At 40.9% G+C, this 19,636-nt stretch overlaps 1 protein-coding gene across 3 annotated transcripts in view, besides 1 other annotated feature; it reads right to left on the minus strand.

The window, feature by feature from the left end:
• MAML2 (mastermind like transcriptional coactivator 2) overlaps positions 1-19,636 on the minus strand; it is a 366,598-nt gene that overhangs the window by 48,836 nt on the left and 298,126 nt on the right. The gene's annotated exons all lie outside the window — the stretch shown is intronic.
• Positions 14,376-14,876: an enhancer, noted in NCBI's record as "H3K4me1 hESC enhancer chr11:95772973-95773473 (GRCh37/hg19 assembly coordinates)". NCBI's record gives its function as "activates a minimal SCP1, AML or CMV promoter by ChIP-STARR-seq in primed H9 embryonic stem cells {active_cell/tissue: H9 hESC(primed)}" and the evidence as "EXISTENCE:reporter gene assay evidence [ECO:0000049][PMID:30033119]".

Genomic DNA, 19,636 nt, shown 5'->3' on the forward strand with positions numbered 1-19,636 from the left:
CTATTGGATACCATGCTCACTACTCGAGTGACGAGATAATTCATACCCCAAACCTCAGCATCATATACTCTGGTAACAAACCTGAATGTGTACCCACTGAATCTAAAATAAAAGTGTAAATTATTGTTATTATTATTTGAGATGGAGTCTCGCTCTGTCGCCCAGGCTGGAGTGCAATGGCACAATCTCGGCTCACTGCAACCTCCACCTCCCGGGTTCAAGCGATTCTCCTGCCTCAGCTTCCCACGTAGCTGGGATTATAGGCATTTGCCACCATACCCAACTAATTTTTTTTTTCTTTGTATTTTTAGTAGAGTTGAGGTTTCACCATGTTGGCCAGGATCGTCTCAATCTTTTGACCTCATGATCCGCCCACCTCAGCCTCCCAAAGTGCTGGGATTACAGGTATAAGCCACCGCGCCCAGCCAAAAGTATAAATTATTTTTTAAAAAGATTCTGTTATAGCCTCTGATTATAACCATTATAGAAGCAAACAACAAATAAACCCCAGCTAACATTTATTGAGGGCTTATAATGTTCCAGACACCTTAAGAAGCATTGTACATAGACGATCTCACTGATTCTTCAACAAGAGTTTTTCTAAGGTAATGCTGTTCTTATGCCTATTTTATAGATGAGGAAACTGAGCCTCTAAGAGGTTGAGTAACTAGCCCCAGTTAGACTGCAAACAAGTAATTAACTGTTTTTAACCACCATCTGGACTGCACTGTTACAAACTGTTCATTTATCAGTCTCCTCCTCTCCCATTAGACTAAGAGTGTTCAAAGAAGAGGAATCACACTTTGGCCAGCAGTATACCTGCAGCCCTGCGGCTAAAGTTTGCTGAATGAAAATATAAGTGGGCTCTCATTTTGAATATAAGGTGAGTTCATGAAACAACCCTAAAATATCAATATCCTCTGTACATTGAGATCATAGGGACCACCCAAGAGAGATAATAGTTGGGTTTGAATTGGATCTTTGGCCATCATTTTAAGTCTCTCATCCTCTTAGCAACACTGGTAAGAGCATCGGCTTCTACCGTGGTGAGATGATGCATATGTGATAGATAAACCCAACCCTCCCTTCCTTCAGAGGTGATTCACATTGTCAGTAGCATACAAGCAAGGGAGAGGGCTGTAAATCTCCCCCTATTCTTTATGTAACCCTCTCTACAGGGTTTCCTTTTCAAGGTGATCAAAAGTATTCCTTTTGGCATCTGTTTGCTCAGCACATATGACTAAAATTCAACAGGATATAAAAGAATCCATTTATATTTATATGTAGTAGATGGAAAGGAGGGATGATGTAGATGCAACACGAGTAGATACGGCACAGTAGATACAACATGAGAAGGACTAAGATGGTCCCAGCATTGCTATGGGGTTAAAAAAAAAAAAAAAAGGTATCTTATACAATGCATTTGTTTAGCATCCTGGCAAATAAATAAATAAATAAATAAATAAATAAATACTCTAATCAAATCTTCACTATATTGCTAACACCTATAACAGTCCCTGGCACATAGTAAGTACTTAATAAGTGCTTCATGAATCGATGAATAAATAAACCAATGAATGGACAACATTGTAGGAAGCTTGTTTTCCTACCTACAGGAAGTACAGGATACTGGTGCCTCTGGAGTTTCTAGCTAAGGTGACAATGCCCAGGATTGAGCTGATGGGACTTTGATTACTGAATTGGCTACAGTCTCAAGATAGCTCTCAACAAGCAATCCTTTGAACAAACCTTACATTTTGTCACTCATGCATTCATTTATTCATTCATTCATTCATTCATTCACCCATTCAGCAAATTTTTATAGAGTGCTATTAAAGCTAGGCACTATGACAAGTACTTCACATACAATGCTGAGAAGTATATGCTATTATAATCCCAGTTTTACAGATGAGGAAGCCAAGACTCAGAGTAGTTAAGTAAGTTCTCAAGACCACACAGTATGTGGCCAGGCTGTGATTTCAACTTAGGACTCTTTGACTCCAAACCTCCCTCGTATTCTCTCCTTTATACTGTTTCTGACCTTAAGGAACTCAGAGTTGAGCATGGGAATGATCTGGAAAATAAACACAATGTGAAAAGTGCTCTGACAGAGGTAAGGACTAGGTGCAGTGGGACCACAGAGGAAAGACATCTAACTCAGATCTGGGGAGAATGGAGCCAGGAAGGAACATTAGAGGAGATGCTATCCTCAGTCACGGAGGAGGGCTGGGAGCGAGAGGCAGAGACACAAAGCTGAGGGGAGCGTAGTACATTCTTTTTCAGGTTATTTTATTTTATTGTTTTATTTTACTTTTTGAGACAGTGTCTCATTCTGCCACTCAGGCTGGAGTGCAGTGGCATGATCATGGCTTACTGTAGCCTCAACCTCCTGGGCTCAGGTGATCCTCCTGCCTCAGCCTCCCAAGTAGCTGGGACTACAGGTATGTGTTACTGTGCCCGGCTCATTTTCGTATTTTTTGTAGAGATGGGGTTTTGCCATGTTGCCCAGGCTGGTCTCAAACTCCTGAGCTCAAGTGATCTGCCTGCCTTGGCCTCCCAAAGTGCTGGAACCATGGGCATGAACCACAGCACCTGGCCCATTTTTCTTTGTGTGAAGGGACTCATAAGTAAACAAGGTCCCAATAATGTCTAGTTGTCTGCATCTTTTTCTATTTATTATTTGACTAAATTTAAGGGATGCTATCCCACAGATTGAGTATAAATGGTAAGTATTAGGTACTTCAGTCTGGACCTTGAAAGTTTTAAAAATAAGATTTTTCCTCATATATTTGCTCCCTCAAAACACATATGCTGCCATGTGCCACAGCACCATTGCATGTGCTGTTCTCTCTGCCCCAAAGACTCTTCTTTCTCTCTTATAAGCATTTTACCACGTTTTCCTCATTTCTGCACCTGGCTAATTCCCATTCATTCTTCAAGGTTTAAACTCCACTTCCCCTGGGAGGCCTCCTCGACCCCAAGATTAATTTAAGTGTCCCCTAATATTGTCCTCTAAATCCCTCTGTCATGACACTCATCAGGCTTTTTTCCCCATTTACTTAATTATCTGTCACTCCCTTTAAACATTACACTCCATGAAAGCCTATGACTGTCTTTTCACTCCTATATCCTTAGTGATCAGCAAAGTGCCTGGCACATAATAGGCACTGATTAATAAATATCTGTAGAAAGAATAAGTATTTGATAACTTTTTTTCTTCTAGAAAATAAAAATTCAATACTCAGCAAAGTCTAACATCTAGGCAGTAGAGTCAGACTGGAGAAAGGAGAAAAAAAGAAAATTATGTGTTCTGAAAAAGGGCAGAGGGAAATGTGACACAGTATAACATTGCTGTCCTTTATTGTATCCCTTTACTGTATTATTGTATTTACTTCCTGAAACACATAATAATTTTCCAGGTCTTATCAATAGTAACATCCTATATTCTTACATCCCCAACACACAGACCATTTTTTTTAAAATAAGGCTATAAAAATGTCATTCACCACATTCAGGACAGTGTTGCTTTTGCCAGATTTATGGCAACTGAATAACACAGAGAGGAAATCCTGAAAGTCAGAGGTGTACTCTCCAGGCCCCACTCACTATCTTCTAAACATTTTGAACTGAATTTTACATTTTTAAGTGGATCAATTCCTCATTTCAACCCAAAGGTGCCTGTCTGTTTCTGAAATTTGCAACATCTGCTAGGGAAGTGAAGAGTGAAACGGTTTTTTTTTTTTTTTTAACATCAAATAATAATAAAAAAAAAACTTTGTTGAAGGACTGTGGATTTTCAATTTGTTCCACATGAGACTATTTCAGGAAATTACCTTTTAACTGGTGCTCATCTTGTTTGTGCAATAATGTTCCCCTGATAGGGATGGACTGTGATCTAAGAGATTTTTACATCGTAAAAATGTAAAATCTCTTCGATTTTTACATTGGGAGACTAGTTTGTCTTCCAAGGACAATATCCAGGTTTCTAGTTGTTTGCCGTCTCAAAGAGATTCTTTACCAATGTGGGAGACCAAAATTTCTCCAGTTTCTAAAGCTGGAGTCATAATTAAGGCAAAAATTATGCCTTCCTGTGAACAAAATTTTTAGAGGATAATCTAGATAATGTAGTTTTTCATTGTTGGAACAGGGTAACGGATGGTACTAGGAGGAAATTCTCAAAAATAGGCTGTGTTAACATCTCTCACCTGTATCTGTCCTCCCATCTTCTTCTCTGCTCCTATTCTCTCCATGGACTGGAAACTCCCACCATTTGTCATTCACTGGCTTAAAGCTCTGACTTTCTATGTTCAGTGGCGCTTTAAAAATTTAGTGGTGAGGTTTCAGGAAATGAAAGATTTCAGGTGCTCAAAGATAGGCCTAAAGGTCACATTCAGAAACCCCATCTCATGTCAAACAGAGTTTTTTGTTTTTGTTTTTGTATGTTACCAGACCACAAAATATTTCTGGAAAAAGTGTTCAGCTAATTTTTTTAAAAGACTCACTTTAAAATTCATATGGAGCCAGGCGCGGTGGCTCACGCCTATAATCCCAGCACTTTGGGAGGCCAAGGTGGGTGGATCACGAGGTCAGACGTTCGAGACCAACCTGGCCAACACAGTGAAACCCCGTCTCTGCTAAAAATACAAAAAATTAGCCGGGCGTGGTAGCGGACACCTGTAATCCCTCAGCCTACTCGGGAGGCTGAGGCAGGAGAATAACTTGAACCTGGGAGGCGGAGCTTGCAGTGAGCCGAGATTGCGCCACTGCACTCCAGCCTGGGCAACAGAGTGAGACTCCATAAAAAAAAAAAAATCATATGGAAAGATAAAGTTCAGAAATAGCTAATATCATTGTTTTTTTAAAAAAGGAAGAGAAGATGGGGGAATTACTCTACCAGGTATGTGATGACCTATAACAGCCATTGTGATTGAAACAATGTGAATTGGCTTTGGAAGAAATGAATAGATAAACAGAATAGAATGGACTAGGGAGTCCAGAAACAGACTCACAAATATAAGGAAAATTGTTATATAAGAATAATAACATTACAAATCCATGAGGAAAGAATGGAATATTTAACATATGCTTCTGTGACAACTGTTCATCCAAATGGAAAAAACAATTACATCTTTACACCATGGCATCCCCAAATATAGAATTACAGTTGAATTTCCATCAACATCCCTAGGAAAACAGCTCAAAACTCAAGCTGTATACATGGTAGAGATCATTCAGGTTTTACTGAGTGTTCTATAGTGACCCAGTTCCAGAGGAAGGCAGTGACCATTGACCTGACAGAGAACTGCCAGAACTCTACTTAAAGGCAGCCAAGCAGGCAGAAATACTTCCAGTGGTAATTTCACTACTCCTGGAGTACTAATACAAAACTGGGAACCCAAGGCTACATCAAGATCCCAAGGGAAAATGGTGCTAAATATGCTATAGATCTCAGTTTGAGTGACACTCACTACCAATCCTTGTTCTTATTAAGGGTGGACAAATAAGGATTCATGCATTCTCTCTTTCCTTCCTCTGAACACCTAGAGCATTCCTAGTCTTGGGAGATTTAAGTACACAGAGATTAAGAGTTTGGTTAGGAGTCACCCAAACCTGGGCTTGAATTCTAGATCTGACTGTAAATGACTTGGGAACAATAGTAGCACGTACGTTTCCTAGGGTTACTGTAAGAATTAACTAAGGTAATATATCTCAAAAGCACAGTAAAGTACCTGGCATGAATAAGTGCTCAACAAATTTGTGCAATTATTATTGGCCTTTTCTCCTGCATTACACGTTTTAATGTTTCTTTTCTCACTGGATACCAGGTTTTGTAAAAGGTACTTTTACACATTTATTTCATTGAATCCTATGAGCTAAGTGTTATTATTTCCATTTAACAGTTTGTGTGTGTGTGTGTGTGTGTGTTTGTGTGTTTTCTCTCTTTGACAAAACTGTAAATTAGTGTTTTCCAAACTATGCTAAAGAGAAAAACAAATTAGTTTATTTACTGCAGTACCTCTCAGAGTCATTGGTATGCTAAGGAGTATTGCTAATTTCCAGAAAAGAGTATTCCTTAACATAGTTCATGACCCAAACAGTTGTTATTCTCAGAATACAGCATGGGAAAATGTGCAATAAAGATTCACTGAATGAATGGATCCAGTTTCATGCTTTTTTTTGCATGCCCCCAGTGCGTAGCATGCTTGGGGTACAGACAAAATGTTTCATAAATTCCAGTTGCTTGATTTATACGTTAAATTACCTATATCTGGCCGGGCACAGTGGCTCATGCCTGTAATCCCAGCACTTTGGGAGGCTGAGATGGGTGGATCACGAAGTCAGGAGATCGAGACCACCCTGGCTAACATGGTGAAACCCCGTCTCTACTAAAAATACAAAAAAATTAGCTGGGCATGGTGGTGGACACCTGTAGTCCCAGCCTCTTGGGAGGCTGAGGCAGGAGAATGGCGTGAACCCGGGAGGCAGAGCTTGCAGTGAGCTGAGATTGCGCCACTGCACTCCAGCCTGGGTGACAGAGCGAGACTCTGTCTAAAAATTAAAAAAAATAAAAATAAATAAAAAATTACCCGTATCTTTGTACATCAGTGGGCCAAGATGGGGAGATGCTATCTCTTTACCTGAAAGTGAGCCCACAGTTTTAAATGTCCACAAATTAAGAATGTTTGGGATCAAATCCTGGCAAGAATATGGATCAACTGGAATACTCGAACACTCCAGACAGGATAGCAAAGTGGTGCAGCCACTTTGGAGAACAGGTTGGCAGATTCTTATAAAGTTAAATATACACTTACCATATGACCGAAGAATCCCACTCCTAGGTATTTATTTAAGATAAATAAAAAGTTATGTTTCCACTGGGTGCGGTGGCTCATACTTGTAATCTCAGCACTTTGGGAGGCCGAGGCAGGTGGATCACTTGAGGTCAGAAGTAAAAGACCAGCCTGACCAACATGGTGAAACCCATCTCTACAAAAATACAAAAATTAGCCGGGCGTGATGGCAGGTGCCGGCAATCCCAGCTACTTGGGAGGCTGAGACAGGAGGATTGCTTGAACCCTGGAGGCAGAGGTTGCAGTGAGCCAAGACTATGCCACTGCACTCTAGCCTGGGTGACAGAGCAAGAGTCTGTCTCAAAAAAAAAAAAAAAAAAAAGTTATGTTTCCACAAAAATCAAATTGGAAACAATCAAATGTCTCTTATTTGGTGAATAGATAAACAAACTATCATAGATTCATACAATGTGATGCTACTTCGCACTAAAAAGAATTGAATTACTGATATATTTAAATCACAAGGTTGACTCTCAAGTGCGCTATGCTAAGTGAAAGAAGCCAGTGGCAAAAGGGTATATACTGTCTGATCCCATTTAAACAAAATTCTGTACAACACTACAGGGATACACCAGCAGTTGCCAGGACTGAAGGTGGGGGAAGAGGTTGAATACAAAGAGACACAGAAATTTATAAAGGTGATGAAAATTCTATTAATAGATTGTGGTTATGGTTACATACCTATGCGTTTGTCAAAACTTGGGGCACTTACATACCCAAAAAGTGAAATTTGTAGCATGTAAATTATAGCTTAATTTTTAAAACAGGGAGACTCTCCCTTGAAATGGTCTACAGCTTATTTTACTTCTTAAGACAACAAAACTAATACATGCTATTTAAGCACTTTTTACAAAATGGCATGGAATGTGCTAGTGTAACCTCCTAAGATGACTGCTGTTCACAGTTCCCTCAAATTCCTTTTCCTGGCATTGCTCAACCTTATCTTGTATCCAAGTGGTTTCCAAACCCTTACCTGCCCTGGGGACAATTATTTCTACTTCCACTTTTGCAACATTTATCATGTAGTACCTTATATCAGAGTTCCTTCTCTGTCTTATCTTCTTAGGATTGTAAGTTCCATACAATAAAAATCCATGCTTTACTTGTATCTACCACAGTGCCTGTTAAAATGCCTGGCAGGAATGCCATAAAGAATGTTTAACACATAAATGAATCTATGCTTAGGTAATAGTTTCAAGTCTGTAAGTCCTTCAGAGACTGTGAGCTCCTTGAAGACAGGGATTGTGCATACCTAATCTTGTACTAGACTTGACGCACTGTAAATGCTCAAAAATTTTTGAATAAATGGATTCCAGCAGATTCTGATTAATTTTGTTTTGGATGGTGCATGGCAGAGGAATTGACTCTTGGGGTGAAAGTTGTGGTCTGGTGAGAGAGCACATGGAAGAGGAGAGTGTACCCTGGGTCGCGTCTGGGAAAACCTAGTGACAGAGGGTAAATGTGAAACCTTCCAGGTTGCATTGGCTGGGTTTCATCTCTCATCACGAGATTTTTTTCAGAGAGCTCTTGGAAGGGAGATATTCCATTTGGATCCAGTTGGAATTACTAACAGAGGATGGGCTGCAACACGGCAGGTTTCCAATTGTGTTTCTTAGGCTTGAAACTCTTCCCAGAAGCAAAGATGATGAAGGCTTCATTTGTTAGGCATGAAAATAGAAAACACTTTACAAAGGGTTTTAAGGAAAATCTTTTCTTTCCTATTATTTTTATCCCCCACTCCCTATTGTTGGCCAATCCTCAAATTTTAAACTCTTTGGGGAAAGAACAACGTTCCTTATAGCTCTTGTTACTAAACTAAACTAAGTGGAAGCATTGAATCTACTTTATTGGATACATTTAATGAGGTTTTAGTTGTAATAATTATGGTTAAATAGTTCAACATCTAAAACATTGTAGTACTTTAGGTGGCCTGAGGGGAATGCGTCTCATAAAGATATATAATAACATAATGATCACTCATAAAGTCTGGGTTTTATACTGTTTGTATCTAATGACTAACAACCAATCCAGGAAGCACAGAATATGACCCCCATCTCCCTGTCCTTTCATTGCTTCTAAAACAGCACAGTCAGCCAGCTAGGGCAGTTGGTCAAATACTTTGAAGTGTGTGTGTGTGTGTGTGTGTGTGAGAGAGAGAGAGAGAGAGAGAGAGTGTGTGTGTGTGTGTGTGTCAGAGAGAGATTTCTTCTGTTTAAAAACATTTGTTATTTATGAAACCACATAATTAAAAATAATTCCATCAACTTACTATAAAGCTCCATTTCTAATGCAAAAAAATTTTGTGGAAGTAGCAAAGTAATAAGAAAAGACTTGAAGCTTTTCAAATTCTGCCCAGAATACCAAAATTATTTTTGATACTTTAATCTTTTTTGATACTTTATTGAGCATTCAAAATCATTTAGCATCACGAGAAATCTTAAAAGCATATTCTAAAGGGAAAATACATGGCATCTCTGAGCACTGGACTCAGACTATCCACTATAAATTTGAGGTCATATTTTGTCTAGATGGCATTTTTGGGGGTCAGAGTTATTGGTTTGATCATATAGGGCCAGTTAGCTTTTTCTTGGACTCTAATCATTGTAACCATATGGTTTTCAATATATGCCCTTAGTCACATGGGGAAGCATATGGGAGTGTCCAAGAGGTTTAGTTTAAAAGATTAAAAGGCTTGTCTGCTTTCTGAATTATTTGAACCCGTCCTCATAGGCAAAGGTCCTGGAATTAAGGACAGACTAATATAATTACTGGGTAATATGGGAAAGCTACCTTGAGGAAGTGGAGGTGGAATTTAACTCCCAAAGAAGGAAAAGAATTTGCATAACTACCACAAAGATAAAAGATTAGAATTCTGGAATTGTGTGGTACCCTTTAGAAAGGCAATCAGGGCAAGTGTGAGATAGGTCAAGAGAGGGTAGACATATCAGTGGCAGGAATGTGGAAAAGAAACCACGCTAGACTGGAAGAAAGCTATGCGAAGCCAACCATAAGTAATTCTGATTTTAAAATTTCAAATAGAGTGTCTTTTAAAAAAGTAGTGCGTGTTTTAGGTATGCCCATTATTTTCTCACAGCACCTTCTTTTGGAACAATCTGCTCTGCCTAGATCAATCAAATTCTTGTTTTCTGAGGATGTGGATTCTACGGAAGATAGGAGACTGGGTCTGTCAGGTGTTAGCTCCTGGCACTGGAAAGTCATGTAGAGCAAGAAATAGTATCGTGGTAACCCAAAGTCCTGTGCAGGCTGAAATCACTGGGCAACAGTAACTAAGATCTTTGTAGAGGAAACTTCAGAGAGGAATGAAGCAAGAGATCATGAGATCTCAGAAGGAAGGAAGCACAGAGACAGGGAAGATTACTGCTGTGCTTTCCCATTTTTTGGTATTCTCCCAACATTGGGTTCTCTAAGACTCCACTGTATTCTTCCAGGAAATCTTCATATATTCAAAAGAGACTGAGGAGATTTCTGTTCCATGAAATGCAACAGTGCCTCACACACAGAGAGATGAAAGGAAGACAAACAAATTCAAAATCAAAAGGCCTCCATTCGAGTCCTAGCTCCATGTGACCGTGGGCAAGTTACATAACCTCTCTGATACACGTGCTGGGCATCTGTGAACTAAGGGTTAGGATATAGACTCCTCAGTGAGGCTACAGGGATTAAATGTGAAAATGGTCTGAAACTGTGCCTGTCATACAGTGAAACCCTCAAAAAACAGAATATAACTGAATAAAATAATGCACAAGTATAGCAATTTTAAAAAACTTTACCACAGTATTATGTTCAATTAAAACAGATTTTTGTGGAAAACATAGCTATTCTTTGAGATGCTACACATGTAATTCTATAATAAAGTAGGCACATGACACACAGAAAATCTCTCATCTAATGAGTGGCTTAACCCCACCGGAATGACACATACAAACGGACATAATCAAAAAGCCGGGGGTAAGATATAGGTATAGGGCCCAAGAAAAAAGATGGTATGTCTCAGGTTTTAAGTAGGGGTAGAAGGGCACTTTAAGTTCACTCTAGAGAGTTTTATTTCCTCTAACAACTAGGAGAGGTGGATCTTTCATTCATTTTAAACTCTTTTAGCACTACTCTCTGCAGGAATATGATGGGAAAGAACACATGATCACCATTCCTGACTCAGAGCCCCTGGAACAGGTCTGGTCACCACCACAATCACAGTTGCAGTGGACGGTGAAAAAGCACTTGGTGTGAAAATAAGATTTTAGGAGCTCACGATAGGATGGCAAATAGGGATACATTGTGATTTGAGGGTTTCACTTCTTTCTTTCCTACTTGGCCCATGATGAGGGAAACTAGATCTCAAGATTCAAGAATATGTTGAATCCTTATCTATTTAAATTTAGAGATTTAACCAAGAAGTCCCATTGTAAAAATAACTCCGGGGCTGAGATGTGGCGATCCAAATTCCTGAAAATTGTTAACCCCCAATAATTCTTACTGCCTTGAATTCCCCAGGAATGACAGTATATTTCTAATTTCCAGGTGTGCTGCGGCTAACTTAAACAAGATAAAACACCTTTCATGGTATTTAAAAACACCAGTGGGTTTTCTCCCTATAGTCTCCACTCCCAGCTCAGAGGACTGTAATCCTAAACTTGGAGCACCATCTTAGATAAGTGAAAGCGGAGTAGATAATTTTGAACTGGATCCATCTTGGAAATTTGATCGGAGTCTGAGAATACCGCCTAGGTTGTTCCTGCACTGCCGTCGGGAGCCAACGCACCTGGGCTCTTGCCAGTACTTGCTTTCTGCCCAGTCACCAGATGCATTCTGGGATGTTTCTGCCCACAAGCAAAACTTTGGCTTGTTTTTCTTCACAGCAACTAATGCCTCAGAAAATAAAAAATAAAAAAACAACAACAACAAAAAAAATAACTCTGGCTTTGCAGTTTCCCTGCTGCCTTTAAACCTGTAATGCTAAATGACGTGCCCACAATAAAATAAGAATAAGTGCTCTTTTCTCCTTTTAAAAATCACCAGTGGCTACAAGATCTTTGGCTAAATTGTCCAAAAGTCCAGGTGTTCTCTCTCTTGCTCTTTCTCTGATATATACACATGCATTTCGAGACAAACACCCTTATACACGGTTGTAAGACAGTTTCAACTTTATTTGACAGCTGTTTGCAAATTTAGCCCTGTTACTGAAGCATGCATTCACCAGCTGGCTGGTGACCATGGAAAACTAATAAATACTTAAAGAGGTCTCCAATCAGTGAGCAAAGAAGCTTAGATTGATACTATGACTTCTGAGTTTTGAGGCAATCACCAGTAACATAGAACAGGCCAATTCAGAGAGGACGTGCAAAGGGGAAGAAACCAAAAACACACAGGTTAGAACCAGCAATTGGCTGGATCTTTTCTCCCAGAGGGAGCTGTGTTCAAAGGCAATTCACCCACAGAGCCTGGATGTGTCACCAGCCAGGAGCTCTCGCTGGGCATTCTAAGCTTTGTTTCTGTTTCCTTGACTGCTATTTGTTTACTTCAAGGCTCATAAACTTGCCTCTTGATATTTTAACTCCCAATCCTGACAGTGACAAAATACCCCAAGAGATGGCTTGGCTAATAAAGATCACTAGATATAGGCTAAAATTAGGCAGGGTGGGGCTGTGAAAATAGGTATTACATTAACGTACTAAAGAGAATGTTGAAAATCCACATTCTTGTGCCATAATTAGAATAACATTGTAATATTCTGGCATCTATATTTTACTCGTAAAATATGAAAGCAGGTAAATATTAAGAATTTAATAAATATATACTTAATATAAAATGAAGGAATCTGAGGAACATGCTCCACCAAATTGAATTCTATGGAATTTTACTGTCTTGTGCATTAGTAATGTGTGTTCTATGGGAAAGGAAGGTTGTGGTTAGAAAATAATGTACTAGACATTTTTTTGTTTGCTTGTTTGTTTTACTGTGGGTCTTAGCAACACCTGTATTATATCGACATACACATCTTCATCGTTCCTTATACTCATTTAACCACAGAACCATTTTGGTGTATGTGGTGAAACTAGATTTTGCGTAAATCAATTTGGAATGTCTTCTACTGAACACATCTTAGGAAATGTTGATCTAAGGAAAAACGCAAAATAGATAAAAATTATGACTAGATCTTGAATAAATTCAATGTTTTAAACTGGTTCAACTATTCAATCGCTTAGAACTTTCTCATCCAAAGCAATGTGCTAGGCACTTAAGCCCTATCTGGAGGAATTCACAGCAAGAGACCCATATACCAAGCTTGCTCTTACTGCATGGTATTTGTATTTGCTGTTTCCTCTAACTGGAATGCTCCTCCTCATGGTCCTTACTTTATCTGGGTCACTTCTCCAGTGTTGCCTATAGAGAAGTCTTCCCTCATAACTTATCTAAAATAGCACTTCCATCACTCTCTAACTCTCTACCTTGCTTAATTTTTTTCAAAGTACCCAAAATGATTTTATGTATTTCCTTATATACTTATTGTTCATCTACTCTATTGAAACCTAGCCCTATCAAAGACATAACTGTTTTATTCAACCTTGTATCTTCAGCACTTAGTATAGTATGTGGCATTTAGTAGGTGCTTAATAATACTTGTCAAATGAATGAATGAATAAATAAATGAATGAAAATAATTCTAGGCCAGGCGGAATTACTGGTGGCACACATCTGTAATCCCAGCACTTTGGCAGGCCAAGTTCACTTGAGCCCAGGAGTTTGAGACCAGCTTAGGCAACATAGTGAGACCCTGTCTACACAAAAATGTTTTTAAAGAATTAGTCAGGCATGATGATGTATGCCTGTAGTCCCAGCTACTTGGGAGGCTGAAGCAGAAGGATCACTTGAGCCTAGGAGGTTGAGGTTTCAGGGAGCCATGATTGCACCACTGAACTCCAGCCTCAGTGACAGAGCAAGACCAACTCAGAAAAAGAGGAGAGGAGGGGAGAGGAGGAGACAGAGGTGAGAGAAGAGAGAAGAGAGGGGAGAGAGGAGGAGAGGAGGGGAGGGGAGAGGAGAGAGGAGACAGGAGAGGGGAGGGGGATAAGGGAGAGGGGAGGAGAGGAGACAGGAGAGGGGAGAGGGGAGGAGGGAAGAGGAGAGGAGGGAACAGAAAAGAATTCCATAAAAGTAACATAGGAGGAGCTAGAGGAATTTGGGTTGAGGCTGCTAAGAAAGGCTTTATGGAGAAGATGACATTTGAGCTTTGCATTGAATATGGGAAGGTTTCTGACATGGCGCAAATAGAATAAATAGTTTAGGATAAGAAAGAAAGCTTAAAGGCCCAGAAGTAGCCTTGAAAAAGTAACCTTTAGACAGGCAGGAAAAGAGATCATCGGCCGGGCGCGGTGGCTCACGCCTGTAATCCCAGCACTTTGGGAGGCCAAGGCAGGCGGATCACGAGGTCAGGAGATCGAGACCATCCTGGCTAACATGGTGAAACCCTAACACGGTGAAACCCTGTCTCTCAAAATACAAAAATTAGCCGGGCGTAGTGGCGGGTGCCTGTAGTCCCAGCTACTCAGGAGGCTGAGGCAGGAGAATGGCGTGAACCCGGGAGGCGAAGCTTGCAGTGAGCAGAGATCGTGCCACTGCACTCCAGCCTGAGCGACAGTGACAGAGCAGGACTCTGTCTCAAAAAAAAAAAAAAAAAAAGATCATCACAACCTGGGGCTAGCAGCCTATTCGCTGCACTCAGGAATGAGACACTTCCAAAGCAACACAAGTCCTCAAACCGGGGTTCCCTTTAGATGTCTGAGCCTGGCCTATTCTATTCATGTTTTCCTGGTTCAATAGTTTGTTCATTCATTATATTATTTATTATGTGCCAGGTACACTTCAAGGTGACAGATAAAGCAGACATAAAAATCCTGGCATTCATAGAACTTACATCTAATGAGGAAATAATATAATAAATGTCATAATTATAGTACATATTAGAAGATGGCAAGCATTACAGAAAAATAGAGTAACAGAGATGAAAAGTGTTGGGGTAAAAATTGCATTTTCTAAACTTTCTATTGCAGTATAATACACACACAGAAAAGTATCATATCATTAATGTACAACTCTGAGTTTGCACACAATATATGACCTTTATGTAACTAGCTTGGAGAACAAAAAACAAAACATTACCAACAGTCTAAAAAACCTCCTTGGCTGGGCACGGTGGCTCACACCTGTAATCCCAGCACTTTGGGAGGCCGAGGCGGGTGGATCACCTGAGGTCAGGAGTTTGAGAACAGCCTGACCAACATGGTGAAACCTCGTCTCTACTAAAAATACAAAAATTAGCTGGGCATGGTGGTGGGCGCCTGTAATCCTAGCTACCCAGGAGGCTGAGGTACGAGAATTGCTTGAACCCAGGAGGCGGGGGTTGCAGTGAGCCGAGATCGTGCCACTGCACTCCCTTCTGGGCGACAGAGTGAGACTTTGTCTCAAAGAAAAACAAAACAAAAGAAACCTCCTGTGTACTTCTCATAACTAACCACCCTGCCTAAGATAACTATTATTCTGTTTTCAAATAGCAAAGCTCAGTGCTGACTGTTTTTGTACTTTTATTTATATAAATGGAATTGTATATTATGTATTTTTAATCAGGCTTCTTTCTCTTCAACATTATGCTTCTGAGATTCATCCACGTTGTTGCATGTAGTTGTAGATCAGTCATTCATTGTGATTGCTGTAGAGTATGTTCCAGTATGTGATTATACCACAATTTATTTACCCTTCCAGTTGCTGATGGGCACTTGGGTATTTTCTAGTTGCTGGCTATCCTAAATATTGCTGCTATGAACATTCTGAACACATGGATTTTGGTAAGGGTATGGATTTTCAAGTAGGTTGGTTACAGCAGGGCTCATTAAACAGGTGATATTCAAGGCCAGGTGTGGTGGCTCACACCAGTAATCCCAGCACTTTGGGAGGCTGAGGCAAGTGGATCACTTGAGGTCAGGAGTTCAAGACCAGCCTGGCCAACATAGTGAAACCCCCTCTCTACTAAAAATACAAAAAAAAAAAAAATTTAGCCGGGCATAGTGGTGGGTGCCTGTGGTCCCAGCTACTCAGGAGGCTGAGGCAGGAGAATTGCTTGAGCCCAGGAGGTGGAGGTTACAGTGAGCCAGCCTGGGCAACAGAGTGAGACTCCATAAAAAGAAAGAAAGAAGGAAAGGAAGGAAAGGAAGGAAGGGAAGGAAGGGAAGGAAGGAGGAAGGGAAAGAAAGAAAGAAAGAAAAAAGAAGGTGGTATTCAAGCAAAACTTGAAGAGTCTATGGAGGTGATCCATGGTCATCTGGAGGAAGTGTGTTCCATTGCGTTTCAGTCAGTAGGAACCTCCATCAGGCAAGAGTGTGCCTGATGTATGAGAAATTGTAAGGAAGCCAAACTAGCTGGAGTGAGTGATTTTTTTTTTTTCTGAAATGCCTATTAAATCTGTCCTTTCTCCCAGTTTCCATTGTCTGCCTGGATCTAGCCCTTCTCTTTTTTCTTTCTTTTTTTTGGGGGACAGAGTTTCACTTTGTTGCCCAGGCTGGAGTGCAATGGCGCATCTCGGCTCATAGCAACCTCCGCCTCCCAGGTTCAAGCGATTCTCCTGCCTCAGCCTCTTGAGTAGCTGGGATTACAGGCATATGCCACCACGCCCGGCTAATTTTTTTTTTTTTTTTTTTGAGACAGAGTCTTGCTCTGTTGCCCAGGCTGGAGTGCAGTGGCACGATCTTGGCTCACTGCAAGCTCCACCTCCCGGGTTCAGGCCATTCTCCTGCCTCAGCCTCCCGAGTGGCTGGGACTACAGGCGCCCGCCACCATGCCTGGCTAATTTTTTGTATTTTTAGTAGAGACGAGGTTTTACCGTGTTAGCCAGGATGGTCTCGATCTCCTGACCTCGTGATCCACCTGCCTTGGCCTCTCCGAAAGTGCTGGGATTACAGGCGTGAGCCACCATGCCCATCCATACCAGGCTATTTTTGTATTTTTAGTAGAGACCAGGTTTCTCCATGTTGGTGAGGCTGGTCTCGAGCTCCCGACCTCAGATGATCCACCTGCCTCGGCCTCCCAAAGTGCTGGATTACAGGCGTGAGCCAGTGTGCCCAGCTGCCTTCTCTTTTTTCTCAGGGACTACTGCAGTAACCTCCCGTGGTCTTCCCCACTGAGGTCAGAGCCACCCTTCTCAAACCCATACGTAACCATGTCACACTTTTATTTAAAATCCCAATTTAGCTCCCTACCGTATAAAGTCTAAAGCCTTTAGCCTGAAAACCAAAGTCCTTCACCATTGGCTCCCATCCTACCTTTTCGTCTTTAAGCCAGGCCTGTTCCCCATGAAGCCTTTTCTCCATCTTCCTTATTTACCTAATGTCACAAAGCTCAATGAAGTCCTTGTTAAGATGATGCTTGTTACCAACCAATCGTTAACGTTCTTTTTTTTTTTTTTTTTTGCGACGGAGTCTAGCTCTGTCACCCAGGCTGGAGTGCAGTGGTGCCACCTCTGCTCACTGCGTCCTCCAACTTCTGGGTTCAAGCAATTCTCCTGCTTCAGCCTCCTGAGTAGCTAGGACTACAGGCATGTACCACCACACCCGGCTAATTTTTTGTATTTTTAGTAGAGATGGGGTTTCACCATGTTGGCCAGGCTGATCTCAAACTCCTGGCCTCAAGTGATCTTCCCGCCTTAGCCTCCCAAAGTGCTGGGATTACAGGCATGAGCCACCACCCGGCGAATCCTTAACATTCTCTTGTCTGGGTACCACCTTTAATTTAGTACTGGGTTCTCCAGGGAACACACAAAGAACACCATCTTTATCTTAGATCAGCTAAATTATTACTTTACTTTTATATCAACGGAAGGAAGGACCAACAGCTAATACTGATATCATTTTACAAACAGGAACACAAAAGATCAGACACATTAGCTAATGGATTTGGGTTCTAACTAGCAAAATTTGCTTCCTGTCCCAGAATCAGCACTATGACTAGAGAGTACAGACAGGGAGGTCCAGGCAGAAGGTCCAATCCCCCTGTCCAGGAACAGAAAAGTACTTCAAAAGAAGGAACAACATAAAGAAGCCTTATAAAAGTTCTCAAATGGAAATGAGAAAAAAACTCTGCCATCTGGGCTACAGAGAAAGAGCTACAAGGGCTGCCAAATATACTTTAATGGTCACTGGTGGAAACCTGGTCTCCCCATATAAAGGGAAAGGATTCTGGAACTTATGCTGCACACAGATGGTAAAGTAATTTGCATTTAATATAAAAATTTTCCCATCAGAGGAAGACCAGAATCGATGAGAAATCCCTGTTCATTTCCTCTGGTTAAAACAACAACAAAAACTAAATGGATGATAGAATGTCTGGTTGAATAATTCAACTATAACAAAATATTTTTTGGGCAGGCAATTATTCTGCATGAAGCACTGCACTAAGCAATAATGGTGCCACAGAGGTGACTATGGGGCAGTGTTTTCTTTCTAGGAACTTTCAGTTGAAAGGATTAGAAAAACACACAGTAACTATCCTACTAAGAAGAAAATAAGAATGCCTTCCAACAGAGGCATTCAAAGAAAGGGTTCCCTAAGTGCTGGTGGTAACTCTGGTAGTAACTTCCATAATGGACTTAAAATAAGTAGATGAAGGTAATCATCTATGTCAATCAGGTGAGTAATGGCCCAGGGCCTATGGCCCATGGAGACAAAGGCAGGTGTGGAGTACACAAAGCCAGAGGGAAATCCTGGAAATCACACCTTGTATGAAGGTTACAAGCTAAGGTAGGAATCCAAGACTGTGTTGCTAACCAAGGGACTGGATAAACAATGGGAACCAAGCTGTGGAACAAGAACAGGGCCCGAAAATTCTTGGGTCTCAGAAGTGCTGGGGTATCTGGCTGGGCAAGAGGGAGGCGTGCCTGGAAGGGTTTTGGTGGTGGACTCTAGGTGCCAGCAGCAGTTTTTCACATGGTTGCATGGATGCCTTAAGTATTTTGTAGAATATAGGACAGAACACACACAACCTATTTGTCATGACATGTAGGGTGGTGGTAAAGGTTCTCTGCTCCCAGTTTTTCCCTTCCCTGCCTACTGCACAAATTCAACCATTCTTTGGGTATAAAATTCCCCCCATTCTCTCCCTTCCTCTCCTTTCATATGGTTATTGAGTATATATTATGTCCCAGGCATTGTGCTAGGCTTAAGAATTCCTATTAAAACACAAATACCCTAGGAGAAACCTTAATCTTGGCATAGAGGGAGTGCTCAATAATTATATTTGGAATGAATGCATGAGGCCATGATCAGCTAACATCTTAGAAAGGATTGTGACTGCAAGCCAGGAAAGAGCAACCATGCAGGTAGCTGGGATGATATACAAGCATTAGCTGCTGAAGTGAATCAAGAGAAAAAGAGGTCCATTGGCAAGTTTTTCTGACTGTACAATTTTGTTCAGAGATGAATCTGTCTCACCTATTTGGAAATGAAAGTTGTTGACGAAAAACTAAGTCATTCAACTCCTTGAAGATGAGGTATTTTTGTCTTCATCCATTGTAATGAAAGGGCTCTTGTTCCAGATAAAAGTATCAGGATGACTTTCGTGAATCAGGATATGCCTGCACTTAGTGTGAGTCTCTTGATCATGCACACTCTTAGGACAGGACCACTGCAGATACACTCATGGAGGTTTTGCCTACACAAGAGCACTTGGTTGAAAAAGCAAGTTAAGACTGAAATATATCCATCCTGCACTTCACCAAGCCT

The sequence above is a fragment of the Homo sapiens genome, chromosome 11 (assembly GCF_000001405.40).
Source record: "Homo sapiens chromosome 11, GRCh38.p14 Primary Assembly".
NCBI classification, from domain to species: Eukaryota; Metazoa; Chordata; class Mammalia; order Primates; family Hominidae; genus Homo; species Homo sapiens.